At 32.2% G+C, this 14,865-nt stretch overlaps 2 annotated features.

The window, feature by feature from the left end:
- Positions 9,877–10,077: a silencer, noted in NCBI's record as "peak587 fragment used in MPRA reporter construct". NCBI's record gives its function as "represses an SCP1 promoter by STARR-seq MPRAs in K562 erythroleukemia cells {active_cell/tissue: K562}" and the evidence as "EXISTENCE:reporter gene assay evidence [ECO:0000049][PMID:32103011]".
- Positions 13,767–13,967: a silencer, noted in NCBI's record as "peak586 fragment used in MPRA reporter construct". NCBI's record gives its function as "represses an SCP1 promoter by STARR-seq MPRAs in K562 erythroleukemia cells {active_cell/tissue: K562}" and the evidence as "EXISTENCE:reporter gene assay evidence [ECO:0000049][PMID:32103011]".

The following is a 14,865-nucleotide window of genomic DNA, read 5'->3' as shown; positions in this document are numbered from 1 at the left end:
ATATCAAATTATTTTGGGTGGACTTCAACTCTTTCTCTTTTGACATCAGAAAGGGAGAAGGAAACCCTTTCTCTGTTTATTTCCCAAAGGGAAGTCAAATAGACAAAATTATGAATATGCAAAATACACTTGATCAAAACAGAAGCACACAGAGTTAAACAATAAAACTACATGTAACTACATACACAAAAAAATCCATGGCAGCAATAGTAATAGTTTGTAGTGTTTATTTGTCTCTCACATTGTACAAATATTTCTAAATATTTGTTTTGTATTATATATTTCATCTAACTCTTACAATAGACAATGGGGTAGGTAATATGAGGACCGCCATTGATACATAAGAATTATCTGGCTTAGATAAGTCAAGTAACTTGACTCAGGCTGCACAACTGTAAATGTGTCATGTCTGAAAACTAATACTGCCTTCTTCTCTACTAATCTATTTTGCAGGATGAAAGAATTAACAGAATTTTAATTCATCAAATATATATATATATATATACACACACACACACACACACATATATACACATATATATATACACATATATATACACATATATATATACACATATATATACACATATATATATACACATATATATATACACATGTGAATTTAATAATTTTATCTTGGGATACTAGTTTCTAAAGTGTTTACATAAAAAAGGTAATAGTAATAATATATACTTGTTTCAACTAGACAATTTTATCAAAACTGATTAGAGGGCCAGGCACGGTGGCTCACACCTGTAATCCCAGCACTTTGCGAGACTGAGGAGGGTGGATCACTTGAGGTCAGGAGTTTGAGACCAGTCTGGCTAACATGGCAAAACCTCATCCCTACTAAAAATACAAAAAAATTAGCTGGACATGGTGTCAGGCGCCTGTAATCCCAGCTACTCAGGAGGCTGAGGCAGGAAAATCGCTTGAACCTGGGAGGTGGAGGTTGCAGTGAGTCAAGGTTGCACCACTGCACTACAGCCTAGGCGACAGAGCAGGACTCTGTCTCAAAAAAAAAAAACAAAAAACTGTTAGAGAACAAATGAAATTCTGCATGCAAAAATTATTACTGTATCTGTGAAGGAAAAACTAATACTTCTAGTGTGACTTTTTGTTTCCTCAGTCAAATTTAATTCAAAATGAATGAGAAACGTTGCAAATTTCTGAATAATATTAAAGTAATTTAATATAATTATTGATAATTAATATTAATATTGATAATAATAGAATGTTCCTAGACTGCTTCTTGTTTTGCAGCTTAGCAAACTAAACAATATATATATTTTAAAGTATAGTTTTTCTAATATTTTAAATTAGTCGTATATTTGGTAAATCACATACCTTTAGCCTTGTTTTTTTTATGATTCTGAACACATTTTTCACCATTTGAATAAAACTTAGCTCTTCCTCAAATTTACATTTGCCTGAATGATTTCTTTCAATTAGAGAATTGCATACGGTTCTCTCAGTTTCATTTCTGGGTTTAACACCACACTTGACAAACTTCACCTTGGCAATAGTTTAGAATTTGGTTTATTTTGACAGAAGGATATATGATCTTGGTGAAGAAATCCGCTGCCTTTCAGAGTAGTATAACTAACTATTAAAAAGATGTATATCAAAAGATGTTAATGCCTTAATCAAAATGGTGCTTACTCTTGATAAATTGTATGCGTAACTTTAAATACACATACAAATATATTTATTGAAGTTTTATGCAGTGTCATTCAATATTGTTATTTTAAATATCTGATGAGTTTCTCATGCAGCAAGAAAAAAAAGAAATATTCCCATAGGATGCCTAATATATTGAAATTCAGAAAGATAAATTTATTTTCATAAAACATTACATGAATGAAAACTTTATAACACCCCATGCTATTCATAGAAGTGTATACTAGACCACGATGTGCCTATGGGTATTATCATTTAAAAAACTTTCCTTACTTCTCCTACTATATTATACAAAAGCCGTTCCCAGAAAATACAAATTTGATGAATAAATTTAGCACTTTATATATTGTTTTAATATCTGTTTTCTAGAGCCAGATGTTCTTCTAATTTATTTTAGGCCTAATGAGCAAAGGCTAGAGGTATAGCACATGATATAGAGCAATGGCTTCAAAAATTTTTGTCTACAACTCATAGTAAGAAAATGTATTTTACATTATGACCCAAAGTACACACCATTAGATATGTATACAATAGATATGCATACATATCTAAACAAAGAAAAAAACTGAGATGGATTAGATGTGATACATTCTCATTTGAATTGTATTCTATTTCATACCATCATTTTCTGTTCTATTTTATTTCACTTTATAATGTTGTTTGAGGCCCAATAAGTAGATTTTGCAAAACACAGTTTGTAAAACACTACTCTAAAACCATTTATCTAGAGGCCTAGATACTGCAACCTCACTCCCTCTAGTGTGAGTATTTAATACTGGTTTCAGTTTATCTTCTATTATGAGTTGTTAAAATTTCAAGAAGAGAAAGAAGTACATAAACTTACTATTTGTAGAGAAGACTGTCATCCATACAATGGTCCAGAATATTGGAAGTGTGTTATTTGAAAGGTAATTTATTAAATCATTAGAGACTTTAGAGACTTGAGCCAACCAACCTAAAATGTTGAGAACTCTATGCTCCTCCAAGAAAAAGATGAGTGACATTATTCAGTAGTAGAATTATTGGCATAGCTCATCTCTAAAGCAGATACAACTCAGAGAAAATCAGTTACTCCCATTCAACTATGAAGAATACAAATTTTAATAAGAAGTGAAATTTCACAGTCAAAAATGAGGGGGAGTGTAGTAAGAAGGATATTCCTAATTTATTAGACCTGTCACTTACATTTCCACTCACACGATGACGTCCTTTTAAGTCTCAGTGAAGTATGAAGATGAAAGACTTTTGAAGTCATATCAAAGAAAAATAAGTTCTTTGACATAGAATACAGGTGCCTGAATTTAATGTCTTTTCAGCTTTCACTTTCAATACTCATTCATAATTTACCAATATAAACTAGTACAATTAATGATAATTGTAGTAGCACTTTTCAGGAAAACAATTTTAATTACTAAACCATCCCTGATTCGGTTACTGAATGCAAAAGTGATCTATTTAACAAATGAAATAGATAATTTTAATGTTAAAAGTTTAAAATCATTCAATAAAATGTACATATTAAGTTGAAAGTATTTTGATATCTATACATAGTTGAGATATATAAAATTTCAATCTCTAGACACATTAAATTTCTTTAAAATTATATGTTATTTAGAAAATATCATATATATAAAATTATTATGCCTTATTTTTTAATCATTCTTTGAATTTTATTTGTTGCAAAGAAAAGCATGTTTCCCAAAGTTCATACCCTTCTAAATGACTGTATACAATGGTAGAGGGAGATTATTTTCATATCCACTTTTTTCCCTCCATATATTTGCTTCAATAATTATCTATAATAAATAGATAATGCTGTATAATTATGATATATTTATTTTAATATTACTGAGAAAATAATTTTACCTTAGGATGCTTGACTATTGCTTGTTTCAAGGATTTTTCCCCAAAAAAACTGCTTTTGTCGAATATCTTTACCGAATATTATTTCCTGTTTAATCTGTTAATTTCTGACAGACAAATGTTGATGTTGCTCTATAGTAGTGGTTACATCTCTTTTTTCAATTCTAACGTTTTTTTCTCATATATTTTCATGTTATGTTGTTAGATGCATGTATTTTTTTTCCATTGTTATGTCTTGTTTGATAATTGCACTGTTCATCATTATCTTAGGTCAGTGCAAAAGTAATTGCAGTTTTTGCTATTACTTTTAATGTAACATCCCCCCTTTTTTATGAAATTAATATTGTTATTTTAGCATTTTTAAAATTAATGTTATCATGGTATATCTTTCACCATTCCTTTATTTTAATTTATCTGAATGTTTATATTTAAATCTGACTTATTTTGGACAACATATAGTTGGATCTCTTTTATTAATCCACAATTATGATCTATCTTTTAGCTGATATATTTAGACTCTACACATTCAGAGTAATTGTTGATATAGCTAGATAAATGATGACCATGTTTGTGACTGTTTACTGTTGTTTGCTTTTGTTCCTTGTTTCTTATTTTCTCTCTCATTTTTTGACTTCTATGATTTTAATTGAGGATTTTATATCATTTTATTTTAACTCCTCTTAGCTTACCAATCATACTTAAAAATGATCATGGTTGCCCTAGCATTTACGATATCCATTTTTTAAGTAACTAATTCCTTGTTCAAATAACACTGTACCACTTCACACAGAGTATAGGTATCTTATAACAGAATATCCCCAAATTCCTACTTTCTGTCCCTTGTGAAATTCCTATCATTCACTTCATGTATTCGTATACTGGAATCATTCAATGTATCACTTCCATTATTGTTTTTAATAAACAATTATCATTATATAAATAAAGAACCACAAAATTACTTTTTAAATCTATTCTGTCTTTGATGCTATGCAATCCTATATGTAGATTCATTTATGGCCACTCTTATTTGTCTTCAGCTAAAAAAACTGTTAAAATTTATTGTGTGGCAGGTCTGCTAGTGATAAAGTTTCCTATTTTTGAGTGTCTGAGTAATTCTTTATTTCTGCTTCACTTAGGAAGAATAATTTTATTGGCTATATAATTCTAGGGGCTTTATTCAAAATATTAAATATTTTCTATGTATTTTTCTAATTTTTGACAAGAAATGCCTTGTAGTTCTTATATTTGTTCTCTTCTAGTAAAGTGTCCTCCCATCCCTGGCTTGTTACAAGATTTTTTTCTTTGCCTTTGGTTTTCTGCAACTTGAATATGGTATGTAGTTATAGGTTAAATTGGTCCCCCCCCTTCCAAGTTTATATGTTTAACCTATAAACCCCAGTACCTCTGAATGTGACTTTATTTGGAGAAAAAAAATTTACAGAGCTAATTAAGTTCGAATGAGGTGATTCAGGTGGGTTGTAATCCAATATAATTGGAGCTCTAATGAGAAGGGGGAATTTTAAAAGACATCAATAAAAAAGGATAATGTGAAGACACAAGGAGAAGCAAGCTGTCTGTAAGCCCAAAAGAAAGGCCTGGAACAGATCCTTCCATCATGGTCATCAGAAGGAACCAATCTTGCCTTTATTTCCAGAACTCTGAGAAAACAAATTTATGTTGTTTAAGCCCCACAGTCTGTGGTAGTTTGTTATGCCAGCCCTCCAAACTAATACATACACCAAGTTTTGACGTTTCACGTTCATTTTGCTGTTTATCCTGCTTGTTTTAGAGACAGCTTTCTGTATCCATCATTAAATTTGGAAAGCTTTTAGCCATTATGAATCAAACATTAATTCTGATTTATTTTCTGTTCTCTTTCTGACATTCCAGTTACACCTTTTGGAACTGCTCAATAGTTCTTGGAGGTTCCATTCTTTCCCTCTCCCCGCTATGATTTTTAATTTTGGGAATTTTCTATTTAATTAATTTTGGGAATTTTCTATTTGAACCTCACTGATTCTCTCTTCAGCCATATTAAGCCTACTGCTGAACCCATCAAAGGTATTTCTTCATTTCATTTCTGTTGCAGTGTTTTGGTTGCTAGTACTTCTTTTTGATATTTTTCTTAGAATATTCACCTGTCTATTTACCTTCCCCATCTGTTTTTTTATGTTGTTTACTTTGCCATTAGTTATTTTAAATTTCTTATTTAATTCCAAATTATGTCTTTTACAGTAGTCTGATTCTGATGTTTGGTCTATTCCTACACTGTTGGTTTTCTTGCCTGTTGGCATTCTTATAACATCTTGTTGTAAATGACACATATGTGTAATAGGAACTGAAATTAATTGGTCTTTTATGTGACAACAATGCTAATACGGCTATCAGTGGTCTCTGTCTAATGTTTCCGATAGCTATAGTTGTCACAGACTTAAAATTCTTTCAGTACTTTTATTTTTGTCTTACCTGTTGACTTTGGGCACCCCTGAATACTCCTCCTTGGAACAACTATTGCAGGTGCTTCCACCATAATCCACTGTTATTGTAATGGAGCCCTGTTTGTGTAATGATAAGGTATGGAGAAATGAGTACATTCTGTAAACTTCCAATTAAAGCATCATTTTTTTCATAGACTTATTTTTGGAATTATGATCTTCAATGGTATTTTGAGAATTTTTGGAGCAGTGAGATTCTTCTTTATGGTACTACAATGGTAGTTAAAGATCACTACACATTTGTCAAAACCCACAGAGTGTACAACTCTAAAAGTGAACCTTAATGTAAACAATGGACTTTGGGTACTACTGATATTAATACATCTTTGTCAGTTATAACACATATACCACTGCAATGCAAGATGTTAATAATGGAAGAGTTGTGTATGTGTAGGGGCAGGAAGTATATGGCAACTCTGCTTCATTTTGCCATGAACTTTAAAATGCTCTAAAAATAAAGACTTTTAAATATTTTTAAACCTTTACTTTAGTAATATAGTTGTTGATTTTTCCTCCTAACCCCTGCATTTTCCCAACATATTTATTTGGCCACATTCCCAATATATTTATCTGAAGCTCTTACCCTTGTTGATTGTTTTCTCCCTTTTAGATAATATAGGAAGGCTGGAGGGTTTTAATAGGAGGGCTTTTCATCTCCCTAACTGGGAGAAAGCACTGCAAATTCTTTTCCCCAGAATAGTAGGCCTTTGCTATAAAGAAGTATCTGTTGTATTTTGCAATGATTTCTCCTCCCCTTCTCCTGCCAGAGCTGTAAGAGAGGTCTTCAGATTTGAACCATAGGGACCAGGTGATGTTCCCGGAAACAAAGTCTAAAAAGTGTTGCCCTTCCCTAAGACTATGACTTTCAGGAGTTTTTTTGTTTTGTTTTCTTTGTTTTAATTCTCATGCCAGTATGCACTCAAGCTCCATAAATGTGTCAAAATTTCAATTTTACTCTTTCTACCAGTTTGTAGCTTGAGGTACTTTGTCCCAGGTAAGATTATCTTGGTTGTGACTCTCAGGAATCTAGTGTGCCCTGTAGCCTCAGTTCTCTAAGTGGTCCAAGAAAAGTCATTGATTTTAGTTTGTCCAATTTTCTCTTGTTGTAAGAGTGGGAGTGATGAATTCTAAGCCCTTCATATGTTGCAGCTAAAATTATAAATCTCCACTTCTGTAGAATATATAAATATGATCATCTCAGAAAAAATTATTTTTTAAATTACTAGATTTTTTTTTATCTCCTTCAACCCTCCACTCTCAAACTCACCCTGAGCTAGGCACATGGTAAATATTTGAAAACTGTATGAAATTTGGTTGAGTCAATGAGTAAATAGTTAAATAACAAATTTCAAAATAAAAAAATTTCATAGTAGAAAAGAAAGACTTAAAAATACGAATTTGTCGGGTTTGGGGTGTCACTTGCTTAAAGTTCAAACTCAAAGATGGGCCCTTTCTCTCAGCCCACATCTTGAATTCAGTACATCACATTTTACCAGTTTAACTTGTAACAGGAAGTATGGGAGAAACAGCTAAGTTAAAGAAAAGCCTTTATAATAAGAGGCTGAATTTGAAATTCGTTTAAGCTGCCCACACGATGGCTACTAATTCTGCTGCAATGAGTTCCAAAGGTTTTAGTAATTCTCATGTTAGGCAAGTCCTCTTAAAGAGTGTGGCAGCTCATGATGAAAAGCACATCACCTACAAAGAGGAGGAGTGATCCAAAACAAGGCTGTATGTTGAATTTTATTTCGGCAGAAACTCAGCCTTTGCAGTATCACAGTTTAATTACATGTTCTTTATTATCCATTTGTGCCCTTGACTCATGTATGACAACAATTTTTGTGATAAAACCTTTGGAAAAAATGGAGCATCAGTAGAGTGTGTCCAGCCAACGTCCTATGCCTTCCAAATAATATTACATGCAGGTATCAGGGAGAATAGGCTCTTCAGGAATAATTAGATTCAGGAATTCCTTAGCCATACTTTTTCATTGTTTTTCAAACATGACAAGAATTCCCTCACCTCAAGGCCTTTTAATTTTCTGTTTCCTCTGCTTAGTATGGTATTCCCTGTATATAAATATGGCTTATTCCTTCACTGTTTTAATATCAACTTATTATAAAGGACATTCTCAATCACATTATAAATAATAGTACCATGCTTACACAAATCATTAATATACTTCAATACTTTCCCCTCTCATGATACCTTTTTCATTATAATGTTATCATCATCTGGCAAACTACGTATTCATTTTTTCGTGTTTGCTATATCTCCCTCAACTAAATTATGCATCTCAAAGAAAAGAAAAGGCTTCATCTTGTTTCTCACTGATGTATTTGTATTACCTAAAACAAACCACATATGTTGATATAAAAAAAGACACGACTAAAAATTGTAAAACTTAAGTGCTACCTATTTTTCATACCAATAAAAGATGAAGAATGATGCAATGTATGTGGGTCCCTAAGGCTAGGGTAACTAGAAAGAATATGATTTTTCATTTTGGATGAAAAATACATTTACTTTTATGGCAATATTGCTTGGGATATTTTCACAAATCAAGGGCATATTCCACCTGGTATTTTTATTTGTCTCTTTGTTTATAGAGATTACTGCTTCTGGACGGGTTTTCTGTTTTGCCTAGGGAAGACAACACAAGGAATTCTTTCTATTTGTCTCTCATTTGTAAATAAATAATATAGTTAACTCACAAGTCAGAAGCTATGTTTACAGGTATTGATCTAATAAGGTTCACAAAAATATAGGTATGTTAATTTTCTTTGAGATTTTTGCAAATAGGGATGCTTTTGCAAATATTCTTTCACGATGTTCTTTGTTATACTTGTTCAGTGGGGTCCAAGTGAGATACAGAATAATACATTTTCTTAGTTTATCTTTTCTAATTTTTATGTTCTGATTTATTTTCTTCAGTATGGTGATATATTTCCAAAATCATTTCAAATTCTGTGTATGATGGAATAACTTTTATTTTACTTCACCAGGGTTCTCACAGGCTAGTTTTATGTGTGTGCATTTGAATACAATGCACACTTCCATGAACTCTGATATAAATCCCGGGTCTTCTGATTGCTGCTCTTGAATTTAAATGAATTAAAATCAAAAAGAAACACAACTATGTTATATATAATTTTTCAGTAAAATCGTTTTTACCAACAAGTGCCTATTTTAATATATGGTATTATACCCTTTGTGGCTATTTGGATTACATTTTTTGAGTCTCCATGAATCTTTTGTACTCATTACCATAGTGACCCCTATCCCCTGAACACTGTCCTCAATGAGAAATAAGTGTAAATGCATCAACTGGCTATTTTTTATTACGCTATTTTCCTTTTAGCCTTTGTTGCTAAAGGACATGCTGACCTATCTACTCAAACAGAAAAAAAAAAAAATCAAAAGAAAGAAAGATGAGAAAAAAAAAAGATCCTGAGGCAAAGGGGACTACATGGTCAAACATTTTAGTTTTGGGAGCTTGAACCCTGGCTTCAGGACAAGTTTTTATATCCTTAGAGATTCCAATTTTATCATATGTCACGATAATTATAAAGCCAGTATCCAAAGGAACATTTACTTCAGTAACTTGAAAAAAAGAAAAGAAAGAAACCAAGTCAGCTTCAGAGATCAGAAGAAACTTGTAGCCAAAATGTAAATAGTTCACTAAGTACTCCTTACCAAGGACTCTAATTTTCAACATTGTTGTCCTTGACCTAGAGAGCACGTATCTAAAAATGTATGAAAAGCTTTGCTCCAATGCTGACCAGAGCAGAATAATGCCTCTAAAACAGTTTCAAAGTGAAAAGAAGAAAGCAATAAGCACAGTGGTTGGTAGATTGGAGACTGTGGGAATATACCCTCAAAGGAAAGCCTTCGTATCCAAATGAAGAGAAATGAGGAAACAGCACTGCACACAGGCCCGGGTGTAGCTAGATCTGTTTTGACTCAGCTTATTTTCCCCATCACTGAGAAGGGGCAGCTGTACCATCAATCATAGTCAGATCATTTTTTTCTCCGTTAAATAGACAACTTGTCAGGTAGGTAACTAAAGGGATGTTATGCTCCAACAATGTCACTTAGGAACAGAATCAACACTGTGAGTGTGACTTTCACAATACAACATTTCATTACTAAGACGGTAGCAGTTCCAGATAAAGCTCCGAGGGCAATTTCCCAACAGCCATTCAGTGAAGTCAACATCAGTTGAACTTTAGCAGAATGGAAAATGTTACTTCAACAAAAAGTCGACCTGATTGAAATAGTTTCCCTAGTAGCTTATTTATTCACACAGAATACTTATTAGGGGTACCCTGCATTGTTTTAAGAGGGTCAGAATTGAATCCATACTTTAAACATAAAACTAAGCTATTAAAAATCAGATGGAGTTTGAAATTAGTATTGAGTTTAAACTGTGTCATGCCAGCAATGTGTTTCTAGGGAGAGGTTTACATTAAAATATATTTTGCTGCCTATATGTGTCTTGAGAAATGACTATTTGATTTTGTTACCAATTTTAGAAGTAGAGCATCTTCTATGGTACAACTCGTAGTGGGGCACTTCAAAACTTCTTCAAAGAGACTTTCTTGAATGAGTAGATGATATCTTGAGCTCTTTGGTGTACTTTATAGTTTTGAAAATTGCAAATATTTCAGAAACATTTTTATTTCTAAAGGAAAAATAAAACTGTGGCATTGACTATTGCATCGAAATATATTTATCTGTTAGGAAGATACTATGCAAGGATGCTAAAAATCTCCAAAGGAAACAACAGTGATGTGTATTTAACAATGGGGATATGCTCTGAGAAATGCATCATTAGGCAATTTCCATTTCATTGTTCTGCAAATAACATAGTGTTTACTTACACAAATCTGGATGATATAGCCTAGTATATAAGTGGGCTATATAGGATACCCTATTGCTCCTAGGCTACTAGCCTGTCCAGCATGTTACTGTAATAAATTCTGTAGACCATTGTAACACAATGGTAAGTATTTGTATATATAAACATTATCTAAACATAGAAAAGGAACAGTAAGAATATGGTATAAATGATTTCAAAATGGTACACTTATACAGGCTATTTAACAGGAATAGAACTTGAAGGGCTGTCAGATGCTCTGGGTGAGTCAGTGAGGGAATGTGAAGGCCTAAAACATTGCTATACATTATTGTAGACTTTATATGAACATTGTACACTTAGACTACCCTAAATTTATTTCTTAAAAATATTTTTCCTTTCATAATAAATTAACCTTAGTTTACTGTAACTTTTTTACTTTATAAACTACTTAATAATTTTGACTTTTTGGTTGTTTTATAATAACACTTAGGTTAAAACACAAACATATTGTTCAGCCATACGAAAGCATTTTTTCATATATCTTTATTCTATATGCTATTTTCTACTTTTAGATTTTTCTTTTATTTTACTTTTTTACTTTGTAAACTTTTCTGCTAAAAACTAAGACACAAGCACACACTAGGCTTACACAAAAAAACAAAGCTAGGCTTACACAAGCAGTAAGAATCATCAATATCACTGTCTTCTACCTCCATATCTTGTCCCACTGAAAGGTCTTCAGGAGTAATAATACACATGGAACCATCATCTTCTATCATAAGGATACCTTCTTCTGAATACCTCATGAAGGACCTACTTGAGGCTGGTATAGAGTTCATTTCTTATATAAATAGAAGTACACTCTAACCATAAAAAGTGTAGTAAAGTAAATACATAAACCAGTAACAGCCATTTATTATCATTACCAAGTATTAGCTATTGTTCACAATTACACGTGCTATGCTTTTATATGACTGACACCTAGTAGGTTTGTTTATACAGTGTCACCACAAACACATGAATAATGCATTGCACTACAACATTATAGCATTTATGATCTCACTAGGAATTTTTAAAATATAAATTTTTCAGCTGTATTTTTAAATTTTTTAAACTCCTATGTTTAAAATTGTTTAAATTTCTATTTTAAAATAGAAAATGTTCAGCTGTATTATAATTTAATGGGATCACTCTTGTATATGCAGTTTGTTGTTGACTGAAATGTTTTGTGGTGCATGATTGTATATGTTATAATCAAGGCATCCGCCAACCTTTTAAAAATGATACATTACCAGCCCTATTACATCAGTTAATTAAACAATAATAATGACCTAAGATGCTCAGTAACTAGATGCTCCATCAATTGATACAATAAAATCTGACAGTATTCTTAAATGTTGTTTTGTGAGATTTTAAGGAGCAAATTTGATTCTGACTAATAAGCATAAGCTTAGCATAAGGGACATGTTTAGATCACTTGATATTTGGATAACATTCTTTCTCTCTCCCTCGCTCCAAAGACATTGAAAGAGAAGACAGGATTTTGTAGACAATGATGTAATCAACACACACTTCCTACCAGAATTATAATGTTTTAATATATGTATGTGTCCATCCATCCTTTGATTCATCTACCTATCACATAATCCATCCTTCTGTCTACCTTCTTGTCATCTTTCTGCTTAAAACCATGTGTTTCCTTTCTTCTGTGTTTAAGTTGTAGATGACTTTACCAACCAATTGTTCAATTAAAAGTATCTACAGCACTCTTTTGGTTTATGCTTATTGTCCCCCTAAAGCTTATTTCCTAATGACAATAAACAGTCAACAATGAAAGGGACATATTTTAATGTATATAGAATTGTATTATTTAATTTGTATGTAAACATTGTTTTTATTAATTAAATCATATACTGAGTACAATAAGTCAGTTCTTGAAAAAAATCTTTGCTATGGTCTGAACATTTGTGTTCCCCAAAATTGATATGTTAAAATCCTCATCTGTCCACATGATAATATTAGGAGGTGAGGGCTTTGGGAGGTGATTAGGTTATGAAGAAGGAGTCCTTATGCATGGGAGTCGTTATAAAGTTCCATTATAAAGGAAGCTTAGGAGAGCTCCCCTGCCCTACCATGTGAGGATGGAGTCAGTATCATCTATAAGAAAGTAGGCACTTGCCAAACACTGAATCTGCTGACACCTTAATCTTGGACTTCCCAGCCTCTAGAACTGTGAGAAATAAATGGTCACTGTTTATGAACCATAGAGTTTATGTTAGTTACAGCAGCCCAAGCCGACTAACTTGCTCGCAATGGAATTTTTTAGTAAGAAAAAAAAAGGGGGGCTTAATATTTCTGATCAACCCATGCTTCCATAATTTGGAATATTTAAATCTTCATTTTTAATACGGTGGGTTATTTAATTAGTAACAAAATACAAAGTGTAGATTGAGTTTCTGCTACTAAAAATTATATTGCACACTTGAGATAAACAATAATAAAAGAATAATATGTGGGTACTGTCCTCACATTTATAATGTAGCTATGAAGAGAAAAACAAATATACAAATATGAGTATGAATTCAAACAAATTTTAAAATTCACACCCTTTTAATAATCATCTAGACTTTAATTCTTTCTCCATGATTTTGCCCAAATATTTTGTTATTACTATAGACAAAACTGCCCATTGTCTAAGATAATAACTACCATTTAGCATGGTACATAAAACCTTTCACACACTTGAGTTTCCTTAATTATACCTTGAGCATATTTTTAATTCCTATTTTCACTTTGAAGGAGACAAACTAAAGCACTTTTTATTCCTGCAAAGTATTATGGCTTTGAAAGTGTCCTTGACTTGAAATACCCATTCATATATCTTTCTTACTTGTCCTTGTATACTAATCTCTTTGTAAGGAGACAGTTCCCTGACTTCCTCAGGCAAATCTAGAGACTCCTTTGTGGGTTTTCTGCCTCTCTTATCTATACCCTACATTATAACATTACAGTGTAATTTGCACCTCTAGTCAATAGACTGGATGTTTCTTGCTGGCAAAGACCACGTCTAATTTGTTCACTGCTCTTCTATTTACCACACATTTCATGCATAGTACATATTTAATAAATATTAGTATTGAATATATCATTCTACAGACCATTTTTGCCAGTAAAATGTCAATTGAGAGAGGAACTTACAGATTTTTCTACATTTCAGTAAGATACTGAAGTATGACGCATAGCAGAGGGCACGTTTAGTAATCCAGAGAGCTGATGCTTTGTAAAGTTAAACTGGTCTATTCTAAAAAGTTTATGCAGGGGCATTTTCATAGTGATCCTATCATTATACCATTCCTAATGCTCAATGTGATTCAGCACAAGAGAGGACCTGATTTTCACAAGGGTTCTCATTTTATGCAAGCTCAGAATAGTAACGTATAAAATTATCATATCATTTTTTTCTTTGTCTTGGGAAATATAATTATTTCAACAGACCAGAAAACTAAGCAGTATGATTAGCATATTTTTTTAAAGTCAGAAACAGCAGGAAGTCAAATAATAAGCAAAAGGTGACTTGACGAGTGTGGAATCAGTATAATGTTTGAATGTTGAATTGCATGAGGCTAATCCACGCTATGCTCGTCGCCATAATACAGCTATGAATGTCAATGGCACTATAATACCCAACCATTGGCTGAAACTCCTTCTGACCTCACATGTGCTTGGATGATCAATATGTATATTTGTTCTATAAGTATTTGTGTCTCACCAAATTTTCTTCTGATTGTCTCATCTTTCTTTAGTTAATGAAAATTAATCAGATTTTAATTAAGTATAACCCATCTGAGAAGATTGCTAACATTGATACAATATGCTCCACTTTATCTCTCAAGGTATAAACAAGCCTGGAAGTTCAAAATCTGCCTTGGTTCTGTGTCTTGCCTGCTGTCAAACATCATTTTTAAT

The sequence above is a fragment of the Homo sapiens genome, chromosome 1, assembly GCF_000001405.40.
Source record: "Homo sapiens chromosome 1, GRCh38.p14 Primary Assembly".
Lineage (NCBI taxonomy): Eukaryota > Metazoa > Chordata > Mammalia > Primates > Hominidae > Homo > Homo sapiens.
Note: the sequence above shows the minus strand (reverse complement) of the source record. Positions and strands in the feature narration are given on the sequence as shown.